Source organism: Homo sapiens, chromosome 3 (genome assembly GCF_000001405.40).
Source record: "Homo sapiens chromosome 3, GRCh38.p14 Primary Assembly".
Taxonomy (NCBI): domain Eukaryota; kingdom Metazoa; phylum Chordata; class Mammalia; order Primates; family Hominidae; genus Homo; species Homo sapiens.
In genome coordinates, this window is record NC_000003.12 from 158,410,574 (window position 1) to 158,435,683 (window position 25,110).

The 25,110-nt window shown below is 34.0% G+C and overlaps 1 protein-coding gene across 5 annotated transcripts in view, besides 2 other annotated features; it reads left to right on the forward strand.

Annotated features, from left to right (window-relative positions):
* The window catches only part of RSRC1 (arginine and serine rich coiled-coil 1), a 435,642-nt gene that overhangs the window by 300,485 nt on the left and 110,047 nt on the right, over positions 1–25,110 (forward strand). The gene's annotated exons all lie outside the window — the stretch shown is intronic.
* Positions 116–709: an enhancer, noted in NCBI's record as "OCT4-NANOG hESC enhancer chr3:158128478-158129071 (GRCh37/hg19 assembly coordinates)". NCBI's record gives its function as "activates a minimal SCP1, AML or CMV promoter by ChIP-STARR-seq in naive H9 embryonic stem cells {active_cell/tissue: H9 hESC(naive)}" and the evidence as "EXISTENCE:reporter gene assay evidence [ECO:0000049][PMID:30033119]".
* Positions 10,372–10,621: an enhancer, noted in NCBI's record as "active region_20747". NCBI's record gives its function as "activates an Ori minimal core promoter by ATAC-STARR-seq in GM12878 lymphoblastoid cells {active_cell/tissue: GM12878}" and the evidence as "EXISTENCE:reporter gene assay evidence [ECO:0000049][PMID:35858748]".

Here is a 25,110-nt window from a genome sequence, read left to right on the forward strand (position 1 = left end):
TATACCATGTCTTCAACACCTAGCATAGTTCCTAGCATATAGAAGGTGCTCAAAAAGTATCTAGCTATCTAGCTGTCTATCTCTATCATCTATCTTTGTAAAAATCTTTCAACTCTTGTAATTTCAGCTATTCAGCATTTATAATTGCCCTTAGGATTTTTTTCTGATGCTTTGTAATATGAACTATAACTCAGAGAAAAATAGATAAATGTATAGTTCACCAAATTATTATAAAGCAGTATTATAATAGAATATATAATATTATAAAGCAATTATTGTAAATCAGTACTTGTGTTACACCATCCAGATCAACAAACACTTTGCCAGCACCTCAGAAGCCCCCATCTTCTGATAGTTCCTGTCAGAACTATCACCTTCTCTTTTATTATGTTGAGCACTTTCTTGCTTTTCTTTGTAGTTTCACTATGTATTGCTAAGTACTACAGTTAAGTTTTGCTTCTTTTGAATGGGAATCATACAGTATGCATTCTCTGGGTGTTCTGTTTCTCAGTGTTGTTCTTAAGATTCATCTATGTGCATGTAGCTGCAGCATGTTCATTTTGTGCTATATAATATTTCATTTTATGAACATATTACAAACTTTTTTTAACCGAAATTTCTGCTGTTGATGGACTTTTGAGTTGTTGTCAGTTTGATGCTAATATGAATAAGGCTGCTTTGAACATTCTTGAAAATGTCTGTGTCCTGGCACAGGTTGATCTTCTGTATACTCTATACCTAAAAGTGGAATTGCTGTGTTGTAGAGTATGTATAATTTTAAATTTACTAGGCAATGTCAAATTTTTCCAAAGTGGATATACGAATTAATTTTTTTCACCAGTAGTATGTAAGAATTCCCATTGCTCTGCCTTCTCACCAATACTTAATATTTCTAGACTTTTTTATGTTAGCCAAACTTATATCATTCTACTTTCTCTTTTTTTTTTGTTTGTTTATTTTTTAAGGCAAAGTCTCACAATGTCACTCAGGCTGGAGTGCAGTGGTGCCATCATAGTTCATTGCAGCCTTGAACTGCTAAGCTCAAGCAATCCTCCTACCTCAGCCTCCAGAGACACTGGGATTACAGGCACACACTACCACACCTGGCAGCATTTTAATTTATATTTCTCCAGTTACCAAAATGGTTTACCAGCTTTTCATGTTTATTAGGCATTTGGATTTTTTATTTTATGAAGTATCTACTTGAGTGTTTAGGCCATTTTAGTGTTTGTTTGTTTCTTTTTCCTTATTGACTTGAAGGAGCTATTGGTATATCCTGGATATGAGTCATTTAATTACAACTAATAAATATTTATGAATAACTGAACATAGCTCTTCCTAACCTACTTACCTTTTTCTCATTCACCAGAGTTTCAGGATATATATTTAAGATATAGAAAATTATCACTGTTCTTTCTGCTTTCAGTTGTAAGCCATTGATATCTTTGTTATCTGCCATTTTTATCCTAAAGATAGTTAAAGATGATACCTATAGAAAATTTCTTTCGTGTTTACAAGAAAAAATACTTAATTTCCAATTCGCCTAAAGACATTAGAAAGGGATTTGTTTTTTTCTTTTTTTATTTTTCTATCTTCAGTGCTTAAGAGTACTAGCTCATAAAACACTTTAGATGTTTGGTGAAAAGAAATGAGAGAGAAGGAGAAAACTAGAGGAAGAAGGATAAGAACCATAATATATGTGATTCGAATGTATTTGATTCTTATGTGATAATTCTTGGTATTGTTTGGTGTAACTGTGATGGACTCCACTACAATCATAAAAATAGTTTAAATGATTATTTAAGAGAAAAGTTTGATTCCTTTTCTTGGCTAAAATTTTGCCTATTCTTTAAGACTCACTTCAAGTGTCACCTTCTTTTGGGAGTCATTATCTTCCATCAGACTGTGTTAGACTTATATATTTTCTATACATATTAAGTGTTCTTTTTATATTTGTTTATGTTATGGTTTATGTTAATGTTAATGAGTGTAGAGGGGCATTCACCTCTCTCATTAACATTAAATAAGTCAGTACATGGTAAGCACCTCACTACCATAAATCATTTTCTTAAAGGGTTAAGATAAAAATTTAATAATCAGCCTGAGAGCAGTGGCTCATGCTTTTAACCCTGTCATGGAGAGGCAGAGGCAGGAGGATTGCTTGAAGCCAGGAGTTCAAGACCAGTCTGGACAACAAAGGAAAACCCCATCTCTACAAAAACTTTAAAAAGTTTCGCTCTGATTTTGGTTATTTCTTGTCTTCTGCTAGCTTTGGGGTTTGTTTGCTCTATATCATGCTCACAGATAGGAAGAATCAATATTGTGAAAATGGCCATACTGCCCAAGGTAATTTATAGATTCAATTCTATTCCCATTAAACTACCATTGACATTCTTCACAGAATTAGAAAAAACTACTTTAAAATTCATATGGAACCAAAAAAGAGTCTGCATTACCAAGACTATCCTAAGCAAAAAGAACAAAGCTGAAGGAATCATGCTGCCTGACTTCAAACTATACTACAAGGCTACAGTAGCCAAAACAGTGTGGTACTGGTACAAATACAGACACATAGACCAATGGAACAGAATAGAGATCTCAGAAATAAGATCACATCTGCAACCATCTGATCTTCAACATACCTGACAAAAACAAGCAATGGGGAAAGGACTTCTTATTTAATAAATGATCCTGGGAAAACTGGCTAGCCATGTGCAGAAAATTGAAACTGAACCCCTTCCTTACACCTTATACAAAAATTAACTCAAGATGGATTGAAGACTTAAATGTAAAACCCAAAACTATAAAAACCCTAGAAGAAAATCTAGGCAATACCATTCAGGACATAGGCATGGGCAAAGATTTTATGACAAAAATGTCAAAAGCAATTGCAACAAAAGCAAAAATTGACAAATGGGATCTAATTAAACTAAAGAGCTTCTGCACAGCAAAAGAAACTATCATCAGAGTCAGCAGACAACCTATAGAATGGGAGAAAATTTTTGCAATCTATCCATCTGACAGAGGTCTAATATCCAGAATGTACAAGAAACGTAAACAAAATTACAAGAGAAAAAAAAAGCCCATTAAAAAGTGGGCAAAGGACATGAACAGATACTTCTCAAAAGAAGACATTTATGTGGCCAAAAAACATGAAAAAAACCTCAACATCACTGGTCATTAGAGAAATGCAAATCAAAACCACAATGAGATACCATCTCATGCCAATCAAAATGGCAATTATTAAAATGTCAAGAAACAACAGGTGTTAGTGAGATTGTGGAGAAATAGGAACGCTTTCACACTGTTGGTGGGAATGTAAATTAGTTCAACCATTGTGGAAGTCAGTGTGGAGATTCCTCAAAGACCTAGATCCAGAAATAACATTTGAACCAGCAATTCCATTACTGGAATTATACTCAAAGGAATTACTGGGTATACACTGGGTATATACCCAAAAGAATATAAATTACTGGGTATATACCCAAAGGAATATAAATTATTCTCTTATAAAGATACATGCACATGTATGTTCATGGCAGCACTATTCACTGTAGCAAAGACATGGAATCAACCCAAATGCCCATCAGTGATAGACTGGATAAAGAAAATGTGGTACATATACACCATGGAATACTATGCAGTCATAAAAAGGAATGAGATCATGCCCTTTGCAGGGACATGGATGGAGCTGGAAGCCATTATCCTCAGCAGACTAACACAGGAACAGAAAACCAAACACCACATGTTCTCACTAATAAGTGAGAGCTGAACAATGAGAACACACAGACACAGAGAAGGGAACAACACACACTGGGGCCTGTCGGGGGTCAGGGAGAAGGAGAACATCAAGATAATAACTAATGCATGTGAGGCTTAATACCTAGGTGATGGGTTGATAGGTGCAGCAAACCCACTGTGGCACATGTTTACCTGTGTAACAAACCTGCACATCCAGCACGTGTATTCCAGAACTTAGAATTAAATTATTATTTTTTTAAAGCCAGGCCTGGTGGCACGCACCTGTAGTCCCAGCCATTCAGGAGGCTTAGGAGAGATGATTACGTGAGCCCAGGAGCTGGAGATTGCAATGAGCTATGATCATGCCACTGCACTCCAACCTGGGTGACAAAGTAAGACTCTGTTTCTTAGAAAAAAAAATAAGTTTGGTAATTATCCATTATTGAACTGGAAGGTTAATTATATAGAAACACTCTTACAATTAATTCTTACATTTAATTTCTTTCCAATTTTCAAGAAAAAAAATCTTTTTAATTTAGGCTTTCTCGAATTTGATTGTGTTCACAAAAAAAGTTGTAGATTTGAAGTGTTCGTCATTTTCTTGTAAGCAAATCCCTTCTCTAAGTGTTATTAACTTTGATCTTTATTAGATGAAATTAAATGAGAATTTGTTCAGGTTTAACTCTTCGAGGACTAGAAATGGATCTTCTAAAACTCCCACAATCTGTTGGATGTCCTTCATGATTTCATTGTTAGTTAAAAGTATCCTCCATAGTTCCTGTATATGTGCCAGGGCAAATGGTGAATGTTTCTCATCATTTTTGCTTGAAAATGGTGTGAGATAGGAAAGCAGGAAATATGACTTTCTCCTTTTTCTTTGATTTATACCTGTATGATCTACTTGTACCCAGAAGGATGGGGTTTGAGAAGTTGTCAAGCACTAATTTTGTTTCCTTCTGTTATATAGCTTTTTTTGTGTGTGTGAGGAAATGATCCAGCTTTAAAGATTCTACTCTGCATTTGAAAACTATTGTTTTTTATAGAATGTGAAGCATACTTTTCCAGTCATTTGTACTGTTACTGTTTGCCTTTTACAGAATGTAATAGGTTTTGTTTAGGGCTCTGGAGTCAGACTGCCTGAATTAGCTTTGGCTCCATTATTTACTACTGAGTGACTTAATTACTCAAATTCTCGGTGCTTCATTTTCCTCAGTGGTAAAAATAGGGTGTTAATATTGAACATTAAATAAGTCAATATATGGTAAGCACCTAGAATAATATAGAATAATTCAGTAAATATTGACTTTCAGTTTTTAAATAATTCTTATTAATTAATAGTGCTATGTGAGTCAATTGAAGCAGAATTTACTGTAGAACAAAAACTATTGGTTGTTATTTCAGACAGATATAATAATTTTACATTTCCTTCTGGGACAAGATGATGAGCCTGGCAAGACTAATACTTTATGTTATATTAAAATAAATTATTGTTATAATTGGTTCATGGAAGTACTCATTAATAGCAATATTTCCCTTTAAGATATGTAATTTGAACAGATTTGCATTGATTATTCCTAGGTTGTTTTTGCTTTATTTTATTAGCCCTTTATTTTGAAGTTTCATGGAATTTCAGCTGTGATAATATCTAGACTTATCTTTTTGTGTGTCATATTCTAAGTGTTCAGAATATGTGGCTACATTTTTTATTCTGAAGATCAGAGGGTATAACACATACTTGATACCTATTTTATTTGTGCTCTCAAATGTAATGCTTTCTTTATTTTGTCATTTTATATCTTGAATTACCACCCTATTGATATTTTATATAAATCGATTTCCTTCATTTACTTTTTAGAGTCTTCTATTTTTTTTTATCTTTCTCTTTTGCTATCTTTCTTTGTGCCTTTCTCAACCATTTTGGTAATTTCAATTTGTGTCAGTTTGAAACTATGTCCCCAAAATTCTTTGACACTTCTCCCACTGAGGACTGGGCCTGTGTCCCCTTCCTTTGAATCTGGCTTTGTGACTACTTGACCATTAGAATACAGTAAAATGATCTGTACCAGTTTCTAGGTCCAGGCCTTAAGAAACTGGCAGCTTCCACTTCTTGTCTCTTGGGCCACTTGCTCCTGGAATCTAGCCTCTACACTATGAGAAGCCAAACAGCCTCATGGAGAGACCACATATAAGTGTTTTAGCTGACAGCTCCACTGAATCCCCAACTGACAGCCAACAGCAACCATCAGGCACATCAATGAGCAAGGCTTCAGAGGAATCCAGTCCCTAGCCTTCAAGTAAGCCTCAGCCTTTGTGTTGCCCCAGTTGATGCTAGATGGCACAGAGGCAAGCTTCCCTGGCCAGCCCCTGTCCAAATGCAAATTTATAAGCAAACTTAATAATTGTGGTTATTTCAAGCATAAGTTTGGGTTGGTATATTCCAAAGCAAAGATAACCGATAATGTTGTACTTCTTTTTTTTCTTCATAGTAACAGTTTTAAGGAAGTAAATATTGTTAGAAGTAATTCTCAGAACTTACCTTTAAAGCCAATTAGTATTTTCTGCATAGGAATAACACTTTAGAACGTATCTGAAGATTTTTTTTAAGGTGAATAATAATGCATATTAGTAAAACAGAAGAATTTCATCACTTCTCTTTGAATTCATATATATTTCTTATAATTTTCACTGACTATAATAACTGCAGCTTAATATTATCATCATTGTTACTATTGTCTTATTTTATATAGAGCAGAAATGGTAAATATGAAGCATTGGTCCCCACTCTTTTAGGTAGGCTGCATCTATAACATATCACTAGTTGAACAGTGTACTTTTTCCTGCCGAGCAGATGTAACTTCAGAATTCTCAACACAGAACTTTATGCTGTTATTACCAGTGCAGTTGGAATAGACATCTGAGACCTCTAGTTTATCAAAACTTTTACATATAATATCAACGTAGGTATAATCCTTTTCCAACTCCTAAAGCTACCTTAATGCTATCATCAATCTGCTTTTCTGACAGCATTTTATTTATGTTAGAGAAATCTCTGCTTCACATGCAAATTGTTTTCCTTTTTTCTTCCTTTCCTCTCCTGTAGCTTTTATGTAGAAATCAGAAGTTTCCTACCTCTGTGGAAAAAATCACACTGAGATTTCTCTAAGGAGGCAATATAGTAAAGTAGGAAAAGCCATTATAATTTTCTGAAAAACGGTTTTCACTATGGAAAAAAAGATGAGACATACGAGTGATTAGGTCATTTGCAAATTTTATAGTGCATCTGAATGATTGGGTAGAGGAACTTAAATTAGCTGATTACACACTGTATGCCAGGGTGCTGTATGTTTAACACTTTAATTCATTTGATCTTCAGAACATACCTATAGGGAGAATATTAATATCAAAATTTTTATACAGATTTATTAATCAGTTCTTATTTATTAATATATATCCTATATATTATTTTATCCTATATATTATTTGAAGGATTCTATAGCAAAGTAATAAAATGGTGATATGTGACTTATTAAAAAAAATCAGAAAAAAGGAAAAATATACATTAATTAGTCAAGAAAGGAGAAAAATAAAACAAAATTCACATATCAGAAGAGCCTATCAAATTGCTTTTACTTGTTTCGGGTTTCCTGACAATCTAAGCCCAAAGTTGATTGTCAAAGAGAACTATAAGTTTTGCAGAATAGCTTTTCCTAGAAGGGAATCACATGAGACTTCATATATGTGATTTTCTTAATAAGTAAAAAGTGGTAAACACACAAGTGTTATCTTTTGTGGTTATTACTATCTTTTTATCATCATGATCATTATCATCACTATGTGATGTAGTATATAACATCCTCAAGATCATAATTGCAAGAAATGCAATCACATGTGTCACACACCTCTTAACTTTTATTGTCCATCAATAAAAGCCAAGGATATGACCATTAAAAGCAACATAGTAAAGTAAAGTCTGTTCAGAAAATATGCTCCAAAGAGATAGCACTCTCATGGGTCTGCTTGAATCTAGTTAAAACCTGTTCTATCTGGAGAAACAGGGAGAATACTTGTTTTTACAATAATACTTATTTATATGGACATTCTCCCAGCCAGGCTGTTTTAGTCATTGAGTCATTTCAGTCTTATATACTCTTAGAAGCCTGAAGTGCAGATTGATACTCTACATGATTGATTCAGGGGTGGGTTTTTAAACTTTAGAGATCACATAACAGATAATAGGTTGACATTCTTTTGTGGACGTTGAGGAGCCTAATGAGGTTCGCTCCTAGATAGCTAGCCCTTTACCTCCACAGAAAGGTAGGCCAAGAAGGGATATACCGGAATTTTTCTCAAGAATCATTGCTGCACCTGCCTCAGGACAAGAATACTTAAGTAAAACAAGTCCTAAAATTTTACAGCCTTGAGTAGAGCAGAATTTTTCACATCATTTTATACTTCATCTTACTAATTACTCGCTGTAGTGCTAGAAAATTCTTGGTAGTGTTGCTGTCAAGGTCAAGTTTGGGAAAAGTAGCTTCCCAGAGAAGTGACCGAGATTAATCTGTTCATTTGGTTAAAAAATTGAGATTAAATAAAGCATTGAGTGATACTTTTCTGTCATGAAAACTATTCAACGCTTCTGTTCACTTTTAAGTTCTGATCTCACCAACCAGTTTATTGTAATTAATTCCATTCACATGGTTTTACCTGGATGGATTCAAAATATGGTTTACTATAAGTACCTCCCGATGGAATTAGCTTTAGTCACATTGAGTGTTATTTAGTCACATGAGTGTTATTACAAGTATATTTAAATTATGTCAATTATGTTTCTGCCAAATTTTAGCAATTGTTAGAGTGTAAGTATAATCAATATAAATATAGGAATGTGTGAAATACTTCACATGTAGACTTCCACAAAGATTTCTCATGAAGTTAGTGTGAGATACCAGGGTCTTCCTGATTAGTACTTATGGCTGTGACCTCAGGCATCTTTTTTTCTCCATCAGATGGAAAAACTGATGCTCTAACTCTCAGATATGGTCATAGCATCCACAAATAGAGAGTGGCCATTTGTGGGGATAACTGAAGCAAATAATTGTCTTCATTGTCATAGGTGACAGTTTATTTGCAACCAGAAACTTGAGTTCTGTTTTTGTTCATTGAGAGAGTGCCCTGAGTTGTAATGTTGATCCAAGTTGAATAATCTAAGCAGAACACTTAACCTAATGACAATAAGGTTTGTAGAAGTCATTTTCAAACTCTAAAATCATGTGATTGATGATTTTTATTTTATTGAAGATTTGAAGCAATTACCTTGCTGTTTGGATGTGTACATGCCTCATACATAGGTAGAACAGGTAATTATGTGCCCTACTTTTGTGCCACCTTTATAGATTTGCACACATAACACTTTATTGTAGTACCTGTCCCCTCACAGGATAGACTTTTTTTATTCTAAAAACTCAGAGATATACAGCATACATGTAATAGACACTTTAAATCTAGCAAAAAAAAAAAAAAAGAGGCTAATGCAACACACTCAAAGTACAGCACTTGATATTAACACTCAGTCTTACTGTAACTTTTCCTACATTAACAGTCCTTTGAAATAGGTCAGAGTTATTCACTAACTCAAACACATACATTTGTTCATTCTCTTCCTCTGCCTCCCTCCACTCCTCCCTCTCTCCCTCACTGCTCTCTCCCCCCACTTCCTCCTTTTACCCTCCTCATAGGCAGGCTCACAAAAGCCTCATCCTACAAAAAAGTTTGAAGACTACCTGCGTTGCTTCACCTGTGTGGTATCACATTTTGGCAGGTGTGCTCACAGGGTAGCACACTTAGTCACAAATTACCTCAACAAATGTTATCTCCCATTTACCAAGCATTGTACTGGTAAGTAAAGATAGGTAAGCAAAATAAACCCGAACTCTGCCCTCCAGTTAGAGGGTTAAGTGTGGCACTCTTAATGAATAAGGAAACAAATTTGGTTGAAAGTAGTAAAGCTCATGAAAAGATTTACAGTGGCTTGCCTTGAGACACAGTAAATTAGCTAAACAGACAAGAATCTAAGTCAGAACCCTACAACAGTTTGGTAGCCTAAGGAACTATGATCTCTGATTAGCAATGTGAGAAGATTACTATTCTGAGAGAAATAGGTCTTGGTTCCTGGACCGGTTCTGCCACTAATTAGCTGTGTCACTTTGAAGAAGTCACTTAACCTGTCTGAGTTTCAGATTTTCTCATCTGTAAAAATGAGAGAAATCAACTAGATGGTCTCTAAGATCCTTTTTATATCGTGAGAGTTTATGACTCTCTAAATGCACGAAACCAATATAAATGAAATTCCTAATTTTCTTAAAAATACAAAATATACAAATTAATAGGTTTTTATATCTCTAAATTATCTATTATAAAGTACAATGGAAATGTCATTCAGAATAACAACAAAAATATAAAATAGCTAAAACAAACTTTATTGGTAATTTAAAATATTTATTGAGCACTTTCTATATGCAGACAACTCTGTTAGATGCTAGGAGACAGTCAAGGGTGCCTGCCCTCATGGAATGTACATTCTGGTGGAGAAAGTAAACAGAAGATGGTTATTTGTTCAACTAAGAATGTAATAATAATTCTGATATGTGCAGTGAAGCAAAAGGATCAAGTAATGAGAGCATATAACAGACAAGGCCAAATATTCATTCGTTTTTTTTCTTCTGTTCAACAATTTAAGTCCATTTTGCCTGGGAGTAAAGGGGTTTTCCCAAGATGTTAGACTTTCAGTGTTGAAATCAGGGAAGTCCCAGGCAAGCTGAGACAAGTTAGTCATATTAGAACCTTGGTACATTTTCAGAACAAAGAAGATCAGTATGGATTGACTCATAAGGAGTAAGATGATCGAGAATGGTCTGGATGGAGCTGTTAAGAAGATAGGCAAAGAATAGGTGATTCGTGGCCTTATAAGCCATGATAATTTTGAGGTTTTGCTTTTTATCCTAAGTCAAAAACTATTGTAGGTTGTGGCATGATTAGAAGTCATTCTTTGAGATCCACCTGCCTAAGAAGAATAGATTTGATGGTGATGGTAAATGTTATGGTAGTGGTAGTGGGAATGAGGTTATCACAAAACTAATTTTAGGAAGGCTAGTAAGATCATTGCAGTAATTAAAGTGAAAGATTCTGATGGACTAGGGTAGTGGCAGTAAAGATGGAAATAAGTGGACTGATGAAAATATTTTATATGTTAGATGTAGAATGGATAAAATTCAGGATTAATGGTTGTGAGAAGGTGAAATGATACAAACAGAAAAAATGGGCACCCAGAGAATTTGAGATAATAGAATATTCTTAATGAAACTATAAAATAAATATGTTAAAATGATTCAAGGCATAAAAGAAGAAATAGAAACCATCATGTACAAACACAATAGGATGAAAAATGCTTAGGCATGCAATTGGACCCGAATTTTAAAACTTCCTTGCCTGCCCACAGACCTTACCATCATAAACAACAAATGGCAGAGTTTATAGGTCATTTTGCAAATTTTTCTTAGAAAAATTCATAGCTAAGTAACTTTGAAAACAACTGAGCTTTTGCTGTGTGGTTCAGACATTATTAAATGTTATTCATCCCTATCCATTCCTACCCTCATAATAGAAGCTTTTTTGATGATACATATGTTTGGTTTTCATCAGAAATTGATTTTATTTGATGTATATAAACTAAGTCGGGAGAAGTTTCAGTTTTTCTTTTTTATTATTATTATTATTATTATACTTTAAGTTTTAGGGTACATGTGCACAATGTGCAGGTTAGTTACATATGTATACATGTGCCATGCTGGTGCGCTGCACCCACTAACTCATCATCTAGCATTAGGTATATCTCCCAATGCTATCCCTCCCCCCTCCCCCCACCCCACAACAGTCACCAGAGTGTGATGTTCCCCTTCCTGTGTCCATGTGTTCTCATTGTTCAATTCCCACCTATGAGTGAGAATATGCGGTGTTTGGTTTTTTGTTCTTGTGATAGTTTACTGAGAATGATGATTTCCAATTTCATCCATGTCCCTACAAAGGACGTGAACTCATCATTTTTTATGGCTGCATCGTATTCCATGGTGTATATGTGCCACATTTTCTTAATCCAGTCTATCATTGTTGGACATTTGGGTTGGTTCCAAGTCTTTGCTATTGTGAATAATGCTGCAATAAACATACGTGTGCATGTGTCTTTATAGCAGCATGATTTATCGTCCTTTGGGTATATACCCAGTAATGGGATGGCTGGGTCAAATGGTATTTCTAGTTCTAGATCCCTGAGGAATCGCCACACTGACTTCCACAATGGTTGAACTAGTTTACAGTCCCACCAACAGTGTAAAAGTGTTCCTATTTCTCCACATGCTCTCCAGCACCTGTTGTTTCCTGACTTTTTAATGATTGCCATTCTAACTGGTGTGAGATGGTATCTCATTGTGGTTTTGATTTGCGTTTCTCTGATGGCCAGTGATGGTGAGCATTTTTTCATGTGTTTTTTGGCTGCATAAATGTCTTCTTTTGAGAAGTGTCTGTTCATGTCCTTCGCCCACTTTTTGATGGGGTTGTTTGGTTTTTTCTTGTAAATTTGTTGGAGGTCATTGTAGATTCTGGATATTAGCCCTTTGTCAGATGAGTAGGTTGCAAAAATTTTCTCCCATTCTGTAAGTTGCCTGTTCACTCTGATGGTAGTTTCCTTTGCTGTGCAGAAGCTCTTTAGTTTAATGAGATCCCATTTGTCAATTTTGGCTTTTGTTGCCATTGCTTTTGGTGTTTTAGACATGAAGTCCTTGCCCATGCCTATGTCCTGAATGGTAATGCCTAGGTTTTCTTCGAGGGTTTTTATGGTTTTAGGTCTAACGTTTAAGTCTTTAATCTATCTTGAATTGATTTTTGTATAAGGTGTAAGGAAGGGATCCAGTTTCAGCTTTCTACATATGGCTAGCCAGTTTTCCCAGCACCATTTATTAAATAGGGAATCCTTTCCCCATTGCTTATTTTTCTCAGGTTTGTCAAAGATCAGATAGTTGTAGATATGCGGTGTTATTTCTGAGGGCTCTGTTCTGTTCCATTGATCTATATCTCTGTTTTGGTACCAGTACCATGCTGTTTTGGTTACTGTAGCCTTGTAGTATAGTTTGAAGTCAGGTAGTGTGGATGCCTCCAGCTTTGTTCTTTGGCTCAGGATTGACTTGGCGATGCGGGCTCTTTTTTGGTTCCAAATGAACTTTAAAGTAGTTTTTTCCAATTCTGTGAAGAAAGGCATTGGTAGCTTGATGGGGATGGCATTGAATCTGTAAATTACCTTGGGCAGTATGGCCATTTTCACGATATTGATTCTTCCTACCAATGAGCATGGAATGTTCTTTCATTTGTTGTATCCTCTTTTATTTCGTTGAGCAGTGGTTTGTAGTTCTCCTTGAAGAGGTCCTTCACATCCCTTGTAAGTTGGATTCCTAGGTATTTTATTCTCTTTGAAGCAATTGTGAATGGGAGTTCACTCATGATTTGGCTCTCTGTCTGTTATTGGTGTATAAGAATGCTTGTGATTTTTGTACATTGATTTTGTATCCTGAGACTTTGCTGAAGTTGCTTATCAGCTTAAGGATATTTTGGGCTGAGACAATGGGGTTTTCTAGATATACAATCATGTCGTCTGCAAACAGGGACAATTTGACTTCCTCTTTTCCTAATTGAATACCCTTTATTTCCTTCTCCTGCCTAATTGCCCTGGCCAGAACTTCCAACACTATGTTGAATAGGAGTAGGAGTGGTGAGAGAGGGCATCCCTGTCTTGTGCCAGTTTTCAAAGGGAATGCTTCCAGTTTTTGCCCATTCAGTATGATACTGGCTGTGGGTTTGTCATAGGTAGCTCTTATTATTTTGAGATACGTCCCATCAATACCTAATTTATTGAGAGTTTTTAGCATGAAGGGTTGTTGAATTTTGTCAAAGGCCTTTTCTGCATCTATTGAGATAAACATGTGGTTTTTGTCTTTGGTTCTGTTTATATGCTGGATTACATTTATTGATTTGCATATGTTGAACCAGCCTTGCATCCCAGGGATGAAGCCCACTTGATCATGGTGGATAAGCTTTTTGATGTGCTGCTGGATTCGGTTTGCCAGTATTTTATTGAGGATTTTTGCATCAATGTTCATCAAGGATATTGGTCTAAAATTCTCTTTTTTGGTTGTGTCTCTGCCCGGCTTTGGTATCAGGATGATGCTGGCCTCATAAAATGAGTTAGGGAGGATTCCCTCTTTTTCTATTGATTGGAATAGTTTCAGAAGGAATGGTACCAGTTCCTCCTTGTACCTCTGGTAGAATTCGGCTGTGAATCCATCTGGTCCTGGACCCTTTTTGGTGGGTAAGCTATTGATTATTGCCACAATTTCAGCTCCTGTTATTGGTCTATTCAGAGATTCAACTTCTTCCTGGCTTAGTCTTGGGAGAGTGTATGTGTCAAGGAATTTATCCATTTCTTCTAGATTTTCTAGTTTATTTGCGTAGACGTGTTTGTAGTATTCTCTGATGGTAGTTTGTATTTCTGTGGGATCGGTGGTGATATCCCCTTTATCATTTTTTATTGCGTCTATTTGATTCTTCTCTCTTTTTTTCTTTATTAGTCTTGCTAGCGGTCTATCAATTTTGTTGATCCTTTCAAAAAACCAGCTCCTGGATTCGTTAATTTTTTGAAGGGTTTTTTGTGTCTCTATTTCCTTCAGTTCTGCTCTGATTTTAGTTATTTCTTGCCTTCTGCTAGCTTTTGAATGTGTTTGCTCTTGCTTTTCTAGTTCTTTTAATTGTGATGTTAGGGTGTCAATTTTGGATTTTTCCTGCTTTGTCTTGTGGGCATTTAGTGCTATAAATTTCCCTCTACACACTGCTTTGAATGTGTCCCAGAGATTGTGGTATATTGTGTCTTTGTTCTCGTTGATTTCAAAGAACATCTTTATTTCTGCCTTCATTTCGTTATGTACCCAGTAGTCATTCAGGAGCAGGTTGTTCAGTTTCCATGTAGTTGAACAGTTTTGAGTGAGTTTCGTAATCCTGAGTTCTAGTTTGATTGCACTGTGGTCTGAGAGATAGTTTGTTATAATTTCTGTTCTTTTACATTTGCTGAGGAGAGCTTTAATTCCAAGTATGTGTTCAATTTTGGAATAGTAGATGTGGTGTGGTGCTGAAAAAAATGTATATTCTGTTGATTTGGGATGGAGAGTTCTGTAGATGTCTATTAGGTCCGCTTGGTGCAGAGCTGAGTTCAATTCCTGGGTATCCTTGTTGACTTTCTGTCTCGTTGATCTGTCTAATGTTGACAGTGGGGTGTTAAAGTCTCCCATTATTAATGTGTGGGAGTCTAAGTCTCTTTGTAGGTCACTCAGGACTTGCTTTATGAATCTGGGTGCTCCTTTATTGGGTGCATATATTTAGGATAGTTAAATAATTTAGAAGTTTAATTTTAAAAATTCATATTGAATAGCAAATTGCCAAGTTTAATCAAGACAACTTCGAATGAGAAGAAAGAGGAGCGGTGGAGATTTATCCTACCAGATAATAAGATTCTATGAAAAAACTATAGTAATTAAAATGGTGTCATCAATAGGAAGCAATAGAACATCCAAAAACAGCACCACACATGTATGAGGACTTGTTATTACATATAAGTGAGGGAAGATGGATTTTTCTAAATGATAGTGTTAAAAGAATTTATTGTTCATATGGAAATTTCAAAAGGCTTAGATATTAAAAAGTGAAATTTTCAAACTTTTAGAAGAAAATGTAGGAGAATAGATTTGTGATCTAGGGATAGGGAAGGATTTCTTAAACAAGACAAAGTATTTAAAAATACCCATTTAAAATATTATAAAATTAGACATCTTGATGAAAGGCAAAATAAACAAAGTCAAAAGATATAACACATACTGGGAGAACATAGTTTCAATGTATATAACTGACAAAATATTAATATCTGGAATATATAAAGTAGTCTTTTAAACCCTGCAAATCAGTAAGAAAAAAAAAATCTTAGAGGAAAATGGGCTAAGGATCATAGAAATTCTGGGGAGAGTAACTCTAGTGGTCAGTTTTTAAGGAGATACACAGCCTCTTTGGGAACCGCATGTATTTTAAAAAGATGCCATTTGAGATCAACCAGACTGCCAAAAATCAAAAAGTCCAACACTACCAGATGATAATAAGAATATGAAACAGAAGTATGATGAAATTTTAACAGCTATTAATTTGCGTGGTATTATAGTATTCTTTATGTTTTTAGTATGTTTGAAATATCCTTTTTAAAAAAAATTGAAAAGATCCAATGAATATAGTGAGATAGAAGTCGTGGAAAAGCAGTTTTGGTTCAGTGATCAAGTTAGAAGCCATACCGAAATGAACTGAAGAATGAATGAGTGCTGGAGAAGTGAGACAGTGTTTAGATAATGTTCTAAAAAAATTGTGTTTAAAGAAGGGAGCCAAAAAGGAATGGGGGTTAGCCTAGCCGGCTTTAAGCTTTTTTGATGAACTCTTTGAAAATCTAATTTATCAAAGGTTGAGACTAGTCAGTTGGTTCTGTTCCCCAATAAGCAGATTCATTAGACTTGTCCTTAGCCCCTAGGGAAGTTATGAATAAAAGAGATACTTTATTAGCATGGTTGGTTTGCTTTTCTTAGGATAGTGGTTCACTCCCTCTGCAATCAGACTTTTTCCTGAGACAGGCTCAGTAGGGCACGTATGACTTAGAGATACTTCTTGCCTGTGTAGAACAGGCTATTCCTACACAATGCAGCCCTTATTAAGCTGGAATCATAGAAATAATAAATGATAGCCAACCAACCAAAAAAAAAGGAAAGGAGGCTAGACTGAAGTATCACCACCTAGATGAAAGCAACTACCAAACTTTACTGAAAGATACAAATTATTTGAATTAATGAAAACATGTAGTGTGTTTTTAGATGGGAAGATTCAATATTGTGAAGATTTCTATTTTCTCCAAATGTATGCATTACTTTAACGCAGTTATTCAAAATCCCAACAGGATTATATTGCTTATTTGTAGGTGTGGCTTTATTTGTGTTTGTGTAGGGAAATACATAAAAATAATCCTAAAGTTTATGTAGAAGGATAATTATATAAGTATAGCCAAAAAACCTTAAGTATAATAATCAGATTGATTTCGCTTGACCAAATTTTTTAATGTATTTGTTAATTGGTACAGAAATCACCAGTTAGATCAGTAATATGTACTAGAGAGTTCAGAAAGAGACCAAATTATATATGGAAATTTAGTGTATATGAATTTTTTACTGGCATTTCTTAGTGTATTTCTTTTTCCTTATTCATATGTTTATATCACATAAATTTATTTTTATTCTGCTTTTTTGCATCTAGTTTTCTATCAGAATCACCTTTCCAATTTGTTACAGAATTTTAGATAACATAATTCTATTGACTACATAATATTTGTCCAGGCAGTATAACATCAACCACTTGCCTATTGTTGAGTATTTATATTATTGCTTTTTTCTATTAAAATAATGTTCAATGACTATCTTCATGCATACTTTTTTCATTTTAAATTTGTTTCTTTGATTTACATTATTTGAAACTGTTGTATCAAAGAGTAGCAACTATTTTTGGTTCTTGAGATATACTGCTATATTTCTGTCTATGAAACCACAGATAGGAAAGCATGTAACATCATCTCCCATTTGGAACATTATATTTTAAGTCTTACTTCCACCCCCACCTCCAACCAGAATGGTAATATTGTTTGTTCTCCTTCCCTCTAGGAAAGGAGTCAAGCCTCTACTCTCAGTATTGCATATAGATAAGTCTAATACACCTCCAGCCAGATTGTTTTAGCCATAGTTAGCCTACTGATTTCTTTGAAACACCACCATTATACAGATTTTAAGGGATAATGCATATCAGTTTGTTCAATACGGTAAGAAAAACTGAATAGAAAATAATTTTATCCTCATTGTTAATCTATTAAAGGGATGAGGGCACTACTCTTAGGAAACAGAATGCTGGTGAAGAGCAGAACCGTTCTGGAGCTGAACAACCTGACTCTGCATCCTGGCCCTAAGGTCACTTAATAATTTTGTGACCCTGAGCAATTGTTAAACCCCTCTGTGCCTCAGTTTTCTTAACTGTAAAATGAGTATGAAAAACCATAGAGAACCATATTAAATCATTCATTGAATCAGTTAATACATGTAAAATGTTTAGAAAGATGTCTGGCACATATAAAGGGTATATAATAAAGGCTGATTATTTTAGTGGACTGCGAATTGGCACATAACGTGTATTATAACCTAGTCTGCCTCCCTGTGTGGCAAAGGCTAGAAAGCAAAAATCTACATGTTTGATAATCTTTTGTATCTAAAATTCTGGATATGAGTTAGGTCCCACCAGTTATGTGTATTCACATGCAGTTTTTTTCCACATGGAATTTTGAAAATGGAAGTGGTGTGGTAGGCTATCTACTTGCTGCTTCAGCTGTTGCTACTAGCGAGCACAGCTATGGAGACCTGAGGTATTTCTCTAGCAGTGTGCCAAACATCTAGCCACTAGCTTTATGCAGGTCGAAAGGCAGGTGCACTAGTAGCTTCTTGATTTGCAGCTGTAGCAGGTTATTCTTGAACTTCTCAGTTCAAATGGCAGCCTCCTGATTTCTCACCGCCCTGAGAGGTAGAGGGAGCAGCGCCCTAGCAAGCTAGTTCTGCAGTGTTGATTTAGGCATCATTATTAGAGGCACAGCCCAGAGCTGGTACTTTCAGCCCTTCTAATAATTTTATTATTCATCCAATTTCTGGTGTTTAATCCACTTTTGTTTAAAAAAATGTTTGAATTAAAGAGAAAGCCTGACCAATAGGAAAATGATATACACATTAGGGCATTTACACTATGAAATATTATGCTGCTGTTAACAAATAATAAATTAACTCTCCGTCAGTTAACCTGGAGAGATTTCCATGATACGTTTTGGAGTGTGAAAAACAAAGTACATAAAATCTATGGATATGATTTCAGTTATAGTAAAAGCAATAGCAAAATTTATGTATGCGTGTGTATACATGTCTTGTATTTTATACCTCTTTTATATAGTCTATGAAAAGTAATTTGAAATATTTCTCATATAAACATTTGTGTCTCTTCAATGGATCAAAATATAATGCTGTCTTTTCATGGGGAATCAAAATTCAGCTATTTTATCTAAAAATATATAGTAACTTTTAATGTGTCTGGAATCTATATATGTGTGTGCATATATGTATATGCTTAAGTGATCTTAAAAAAAAACAACAAAAATAAATACAATAGAATAGTATCCAACCTGAAAATGAAGGAAATTGTGCCAATCTGCCAATAACATGGATGAAACTTGAGGACATTATGCCAACTGAAATGTCTGTCACAGAAAGACGAACACTGCATGATTCCACTTATATGAGATGGGTAAAATAGTCAAATTCGTAGAATCGAGGAGTGAAATGGTGGTTACCGGGTTCTGTGGGGAGTGGGAAATAGGAAATTGGTAATCAAAGGGCATATATTAATAGCTTTAGTCAAACAAGATGAATAAACTCTAGAGATCTGCTGTAAGGCATGGTACCTATAGTAAACAATAATGACTTGTAGCTTTAAAATTTTAAGAAGGTAGATCTCATGCTAAGTATTTTTAACACAATAATCATAAAAACCACACACACAAAAAAAATAAAATAAAATAAAATAAAATAAAATAACCAGGAAATTTCTGTTTCTTGCACTTGTGATAGTAGTGGTAATGGTGATGGTGGTGGCAGTAGCTGTAGTAGCAATAGCAGTGACAGTGGTAGTGGCTATTGTTATTTAAACTTTTTTGCATCATTTATCTTTCCAAAATGGAAAAACTTTCAAAGCAGCGATGGCAGTCATCTTTAACTTGTGATACAGTTTCCCCAGAGCTCAGAAGGACAGCAGAATCTTTGTCAACGAAGAGCTCCAGGCAGCCACTAGCATTCGACTGGAGCTGATCTGCCAGTTTTGCCTTATATTTGTGTTTTTCTTTAAAAGTTAGCTGCTCTCTGGCTACCTATTACATAATGTACCTAATATAAATTATTGGTTAAGGTGGGTACTAACCTCAGAAAAAGGAAAGAAAGGGGAAACTGGTGTCCAGACTAATGTGAAGTCATTGGAACCATCTAAGAGAAAGAAAATTCTGCGTATGTTTAACAAGTATTTCTTGAAATTCTACTGCTTACCTGTTGCTAGGCAATAGGGAAATACAGATATGAATAAGATACCCTCTTCATTCTCAAAGGACTCACAGTGGGAAGACAAACTACAAATAAACTCTTTTCTGTACCACACTATGAGCATATTGAGATCATGTTTCATTCACTATTATAACTGTATTACCTACCACAGTACCTGGTACAGTATATAGTATGTGCTTAACCAATATTTTTTGAATTAACAAGATGTAAAATATCACATCCAGTGTGGACTGAAGAGGAATTGTTAACCTGAAAAGGTTAGGAAAACTCTTTGTTGCTATTTTGGTGGTATCAAAAAATGGTTCTATAGTCAAGTAAGTTTGAGAGTCACCATATTTTATTTCCCTTTTAAAGAGTCACAAGACACATTAGCATATTGTAGATTCTGATGAGTTGTACAGTAAAGAAATAGCTTAATTTTGTCCAACTAAGTATTTTCCAAATATATTTGACCACAAAACCCTTTTAGCACCTCATTGTGTGGAACAGTTTGGGAAATACTGGTACAGCTATTTCCTGAAGCTAATCTTTAATAATTGTTTTACATTGCTAGAACACTGTGGTTTTGATAATAGCATTTAAAATCTTGATGTCATCAGCTTGGTATTCTGAGTAAATGTTTAAATAACTTAAAGATAAATCTCCACAAAATTAGATCTAACAAGGAACCTCTGTAATCTCCATCTTAACAGCTAACATAAATTTTCTATTCCAAATAATAAAAGGCAGCACACTCAAAGAACAAAGCATTTGAAACAACCCAGATTTTCTTTTTTTGAAAAAATTAATGGTAGATTTTAAAATGAAAATAAGTTATTTAGAAAGTTTTCTTTTCATTTATTCTGCCTATTTTTAAAATTAGACTAAGTTTCTCTATTAACTTTACCACAATACACTGCTTATAATGAAGACGTGTAGTACTAAAAAAAGTGGTGGCAATGAAAATTTCAAATAGAATATTTTTTATTTAATTGGTCCTATATTAAATCCTTTTGAGTTATTTCATTTTGTGGTATGTTGCTTAACAAGATTTCACATTAAATAAATATTTAAATATTGTGAATTTTAAATACCTCTTTGGGGAGAAATTCTGGTCATTCCTAATGTAGGTAAAATAGGATTTTCTAAATTGTTTAATACTGAGAATGTTGATTTTTAGGCATTAATTTCCCCTTATACATTTGTGTTATAACTTAAGTAAATTGTTTTGCCTCTGAAATATATCTTAGATGACCAAAAATAACATCACAAAACATGTTTGTTATATACTTAATTGTTTTGACCATAGAATTAATTTTAAAGTCAAAAGGGGCATTGCTTTTTCATCATTTCCAGTTCAGAATATTCAGCATGTCACAGATGTTCATGAATAATGTCCATTTAAAACTGTTGGCAAAGAGTGCTGGTGAGTTGGCTAGATGAATTAAATGTTGGGGGGATCTGACAGGCAGCACGCTGCTTTGTGATCATTCCAAAGTTCTAATAATCTCCCTCACCTTCTCTGCCTGCCACTAATGAAAGAGAATAGGTGATTGCACCTCCGGCTATGTTCTGCGCCTAATGACTCCTCCAAAGGCAGATTTATGAAGAAAAAATTAACTTTGAATGAGGATTGAATTGGCCCTGACAGTCTGATAGACTGTGACACAGATTCTGTGGCAAAACAGACGTAGCTCTAATTGATTATCAATATTTTAAGCAAAGTGATGAAAATAAGCATTAAGTGATGAGAAAGGCAGTCTTAATACAGTAGGCAGTAACCAGGACATAAGAGAGTCTATGGGGAGTTTTGCACTGATTGCTATTACTGAATTTTATCTGTCGATTTTTACCTTTGCTTCCTGGCAGCCATTGTCCCTCCTTGGTGTACTATTTTTTTTCCTCAAAAATCTATGACTAGAATGTTAATCTCACTGATAACACTGACAAAGCTATCTGCAGTCTCTTCCTCTGGAGAAGTTTGTTTAATATTTAACTCATTTTGAATTGAGGTTAGCTTTCGTAGTTTTGAAAGAACTGAGACTTTTTATGAAGATTTTAGATTAACAAATTTCATTCACATACTGTTTCTAAATTTAGTACTATCCATGAAATATAAACTAGCCTAAAATATTGCATATTGCATGTCACATATTTCTCATAATATCAGGCATTATATCCTTTACATAATTTGTAGCATTGACATCATTTGTAGCCTTCATCTTATGAATAAAATGAAGACATTTATCTAGAAATACTATATATATATACACACACAGAGTGAGTCTATGTATATATACTATAGTTACTTACAAAATATATTTTCAAACTAACAACAGAAATTCAACTTAGATAATTATATGTTCATGTGATGCTTCGTAAGTTAATTTAATAACACTTGAAATTGTTATATACCTTTTTCCTTATAAGTTATATTTAGTCCTCTATATTAAAACAGAGAAAAAAGATCACTTAAAAAATCAGTAGCAATTTCATTCAGTGTTAAAATTGATGAGCCAAGAACATACTATATAACATCACGTAATGCTGTGCTTGCTTACTATTAAATAGGTTTTAGATAAATTAGCTTATTTAACACAGAAACTATACGTATTTTTTCTTGTGGCAAAATACTCTGAATTATTAGTCATCAGTATTTATATTGTTTTGTGAAATTAATTTCAGCCAGAAATTGTGCAATTATTGAAAACTTGAAATTCTCCAGGTTACTTTGGAGAAAGTGAGTCATTTTTATTTTTCCAAAGGTCTCCCCAAGTAAGTTATTAGAGGCAAAAATAAGGTAATACAGAGATGCTACAGTACAATGCTTCTCAATCTTTCTCATGTCATGAAATGCAAAAGGATATATTTCGTTGGTACACCAGGTTAAACTGGTGAGGCTGCTCTTGGCCAAAGGCTACTGCTCTCAAACTCCAGCCACCTCAGACCCTGCCTGGTTGTCTGGAGGGCTGAGAGGATGATATTTTAGCACACATATTACTTAGTAGTAGCTAAATAGTTGGGAAGCTCTGAGTGTATTGCAGATAGAGAACTACATTTATAAAGCCCAGATTGAATAATAATGGTTTGAAAGTTAAATCTATCTAAAATCTGTCCAAATATCTAAAAACAATTCTAAAAATCATCCTATCTAGAAAGAGAAGAACAAATATATCTCTAGACATAATTTTTGTTAGATGGATTGCTGATCTTAATTGTATTTTCCACTTAATGTTGGTTGTAATATCTGCTAAGATTATTCAAATTTTAATCTTTGTTTTGACCCCTATTAAAGCAGAATATATATTTAAACTTTATTCTCTGAAAAATGTTAAATAAAATAAAGTTATCTCTTGGCAGAATAATATTGTCACTCATTCTTAGAGAGTCTAGAATGATTTTTTGAAACTCCAAAGACGTTAAAACTAATCAAATCCAGCTCTTAGTTGACTATTTAAGAAATAGCAGCTCAGATCACAATTAGATCACTGCTATGCTAAAACTAAAATCCAGTTTTCCCGATTCCGAGGCCATTCCCTTTCAGCTCTACTCTGTGATGTTTAAAAATCTTCATATGAGAACTTCCAAAATGTTATAAATTATAAAATTCACATATTCTTTTATAGCTGTAAGAAGTAATTTGCTAGCAATTTTCACTTATACATTAGGTGATGCTTTTAGGTAGGGTTTCAGTAAGGTAATGTCAATTTTTCTAATTCTTTATTTACAGTGTCTTCCCAAAAAAGCCTGACATTTTCTGTTTTAGTGTTCAAAATATCCAGTGAAAAAAAATGGAAAGCTATTCATCGTGCTGAAGTTTACTTTGTGCTAAAAATTATTTTATTATAAAGGAATTATATTCTAGTAAAAATAGATTAAGAAACATTCTAGTTTGGATAAGAATTCTACAAACACCGATATTGGGTACTTTGTCCTCTGTCATTCCATTTGTTAACATTCCAACAGACAGAAGAAGCAGACAGATACATTATTCTTTTTGCGCCACCTAGCGAAACTCGGGTGCTGTATATTTACCACACTATACCCAACTTGCAATGTGTGTTACACTTAGCTCCTGCTCATTACACCTGTAAGAAATTCACAAAAGAAAAAAAGAAAGCTCTAACCCCACTAACATTGACTTTTCATCATATTTTGGTAAATTTTTGAAGACTGAAATATTATTAGTAAAAATATGAATACTTATGCTCAATTCTGAAGGCATTGCCTTGAACAAAAGACATCACATGGGGGTAAAGTTTTTAATTATGCTCTTCCAGTTGTAAATACAAGATTTTACCAAATGAAAGTACATTCTGGAGTAACATTCAAAGTACTGAAAAGAGATGGGATGAAATTAGATTGAAGACTGTACAAAATATTTTAAGGATCTCAAACTCATTAAGTGTTTTTTATTTAATGAGGTTTTCTTTTATCATAAATCAAAAATATTGGTAAAATAACTTGTGCCACACTTATGCTTTGAAATGAAAATAGTAATGTTGTGTAATGCTAGACTGACTGATTTGTAGTTTGAAAGAACACTGTGTTAAAGCTTCTATTTATCTATTTTTTTAAAATTTGTGTTTCAAGTGTTTGAAGTGAAATCTCTTGCATTTTTTTTAATTAATACTACACAAGCATTCTGCTGCTTAACTTGTAGGTCTTAATTTTTAATAATATTAAATTTCAAGGTCATGCTTTCAGAATGCTGACACAAGATAAAATAATACTATTGTCAGTGTCATTGTTTTATGTTGATGTAATAAAAAGTACCTAATGTAAAAAAATAGAAAAAATAATTTATCCAGTAGGAGAAAATTGTTCCTTATGTATCTAAATTTGTTGTGTATGAGGAAATATAGGACTTGTGGTGGCTGTAACTATAGTTCTGAAGATTTTTATTTGATTTGACATATGATTACTCTGAAAATTCATAAGATTTACTGCTCTTAAATATGTGCTATAAAGATATAGATATAAATATATGTGCTATAAAGATAAAGATATATAATTTAAAGGTATATATTTACTTTCACTTTGAAAGTATATATTTCTAATTTTTAATATTGAATTATAC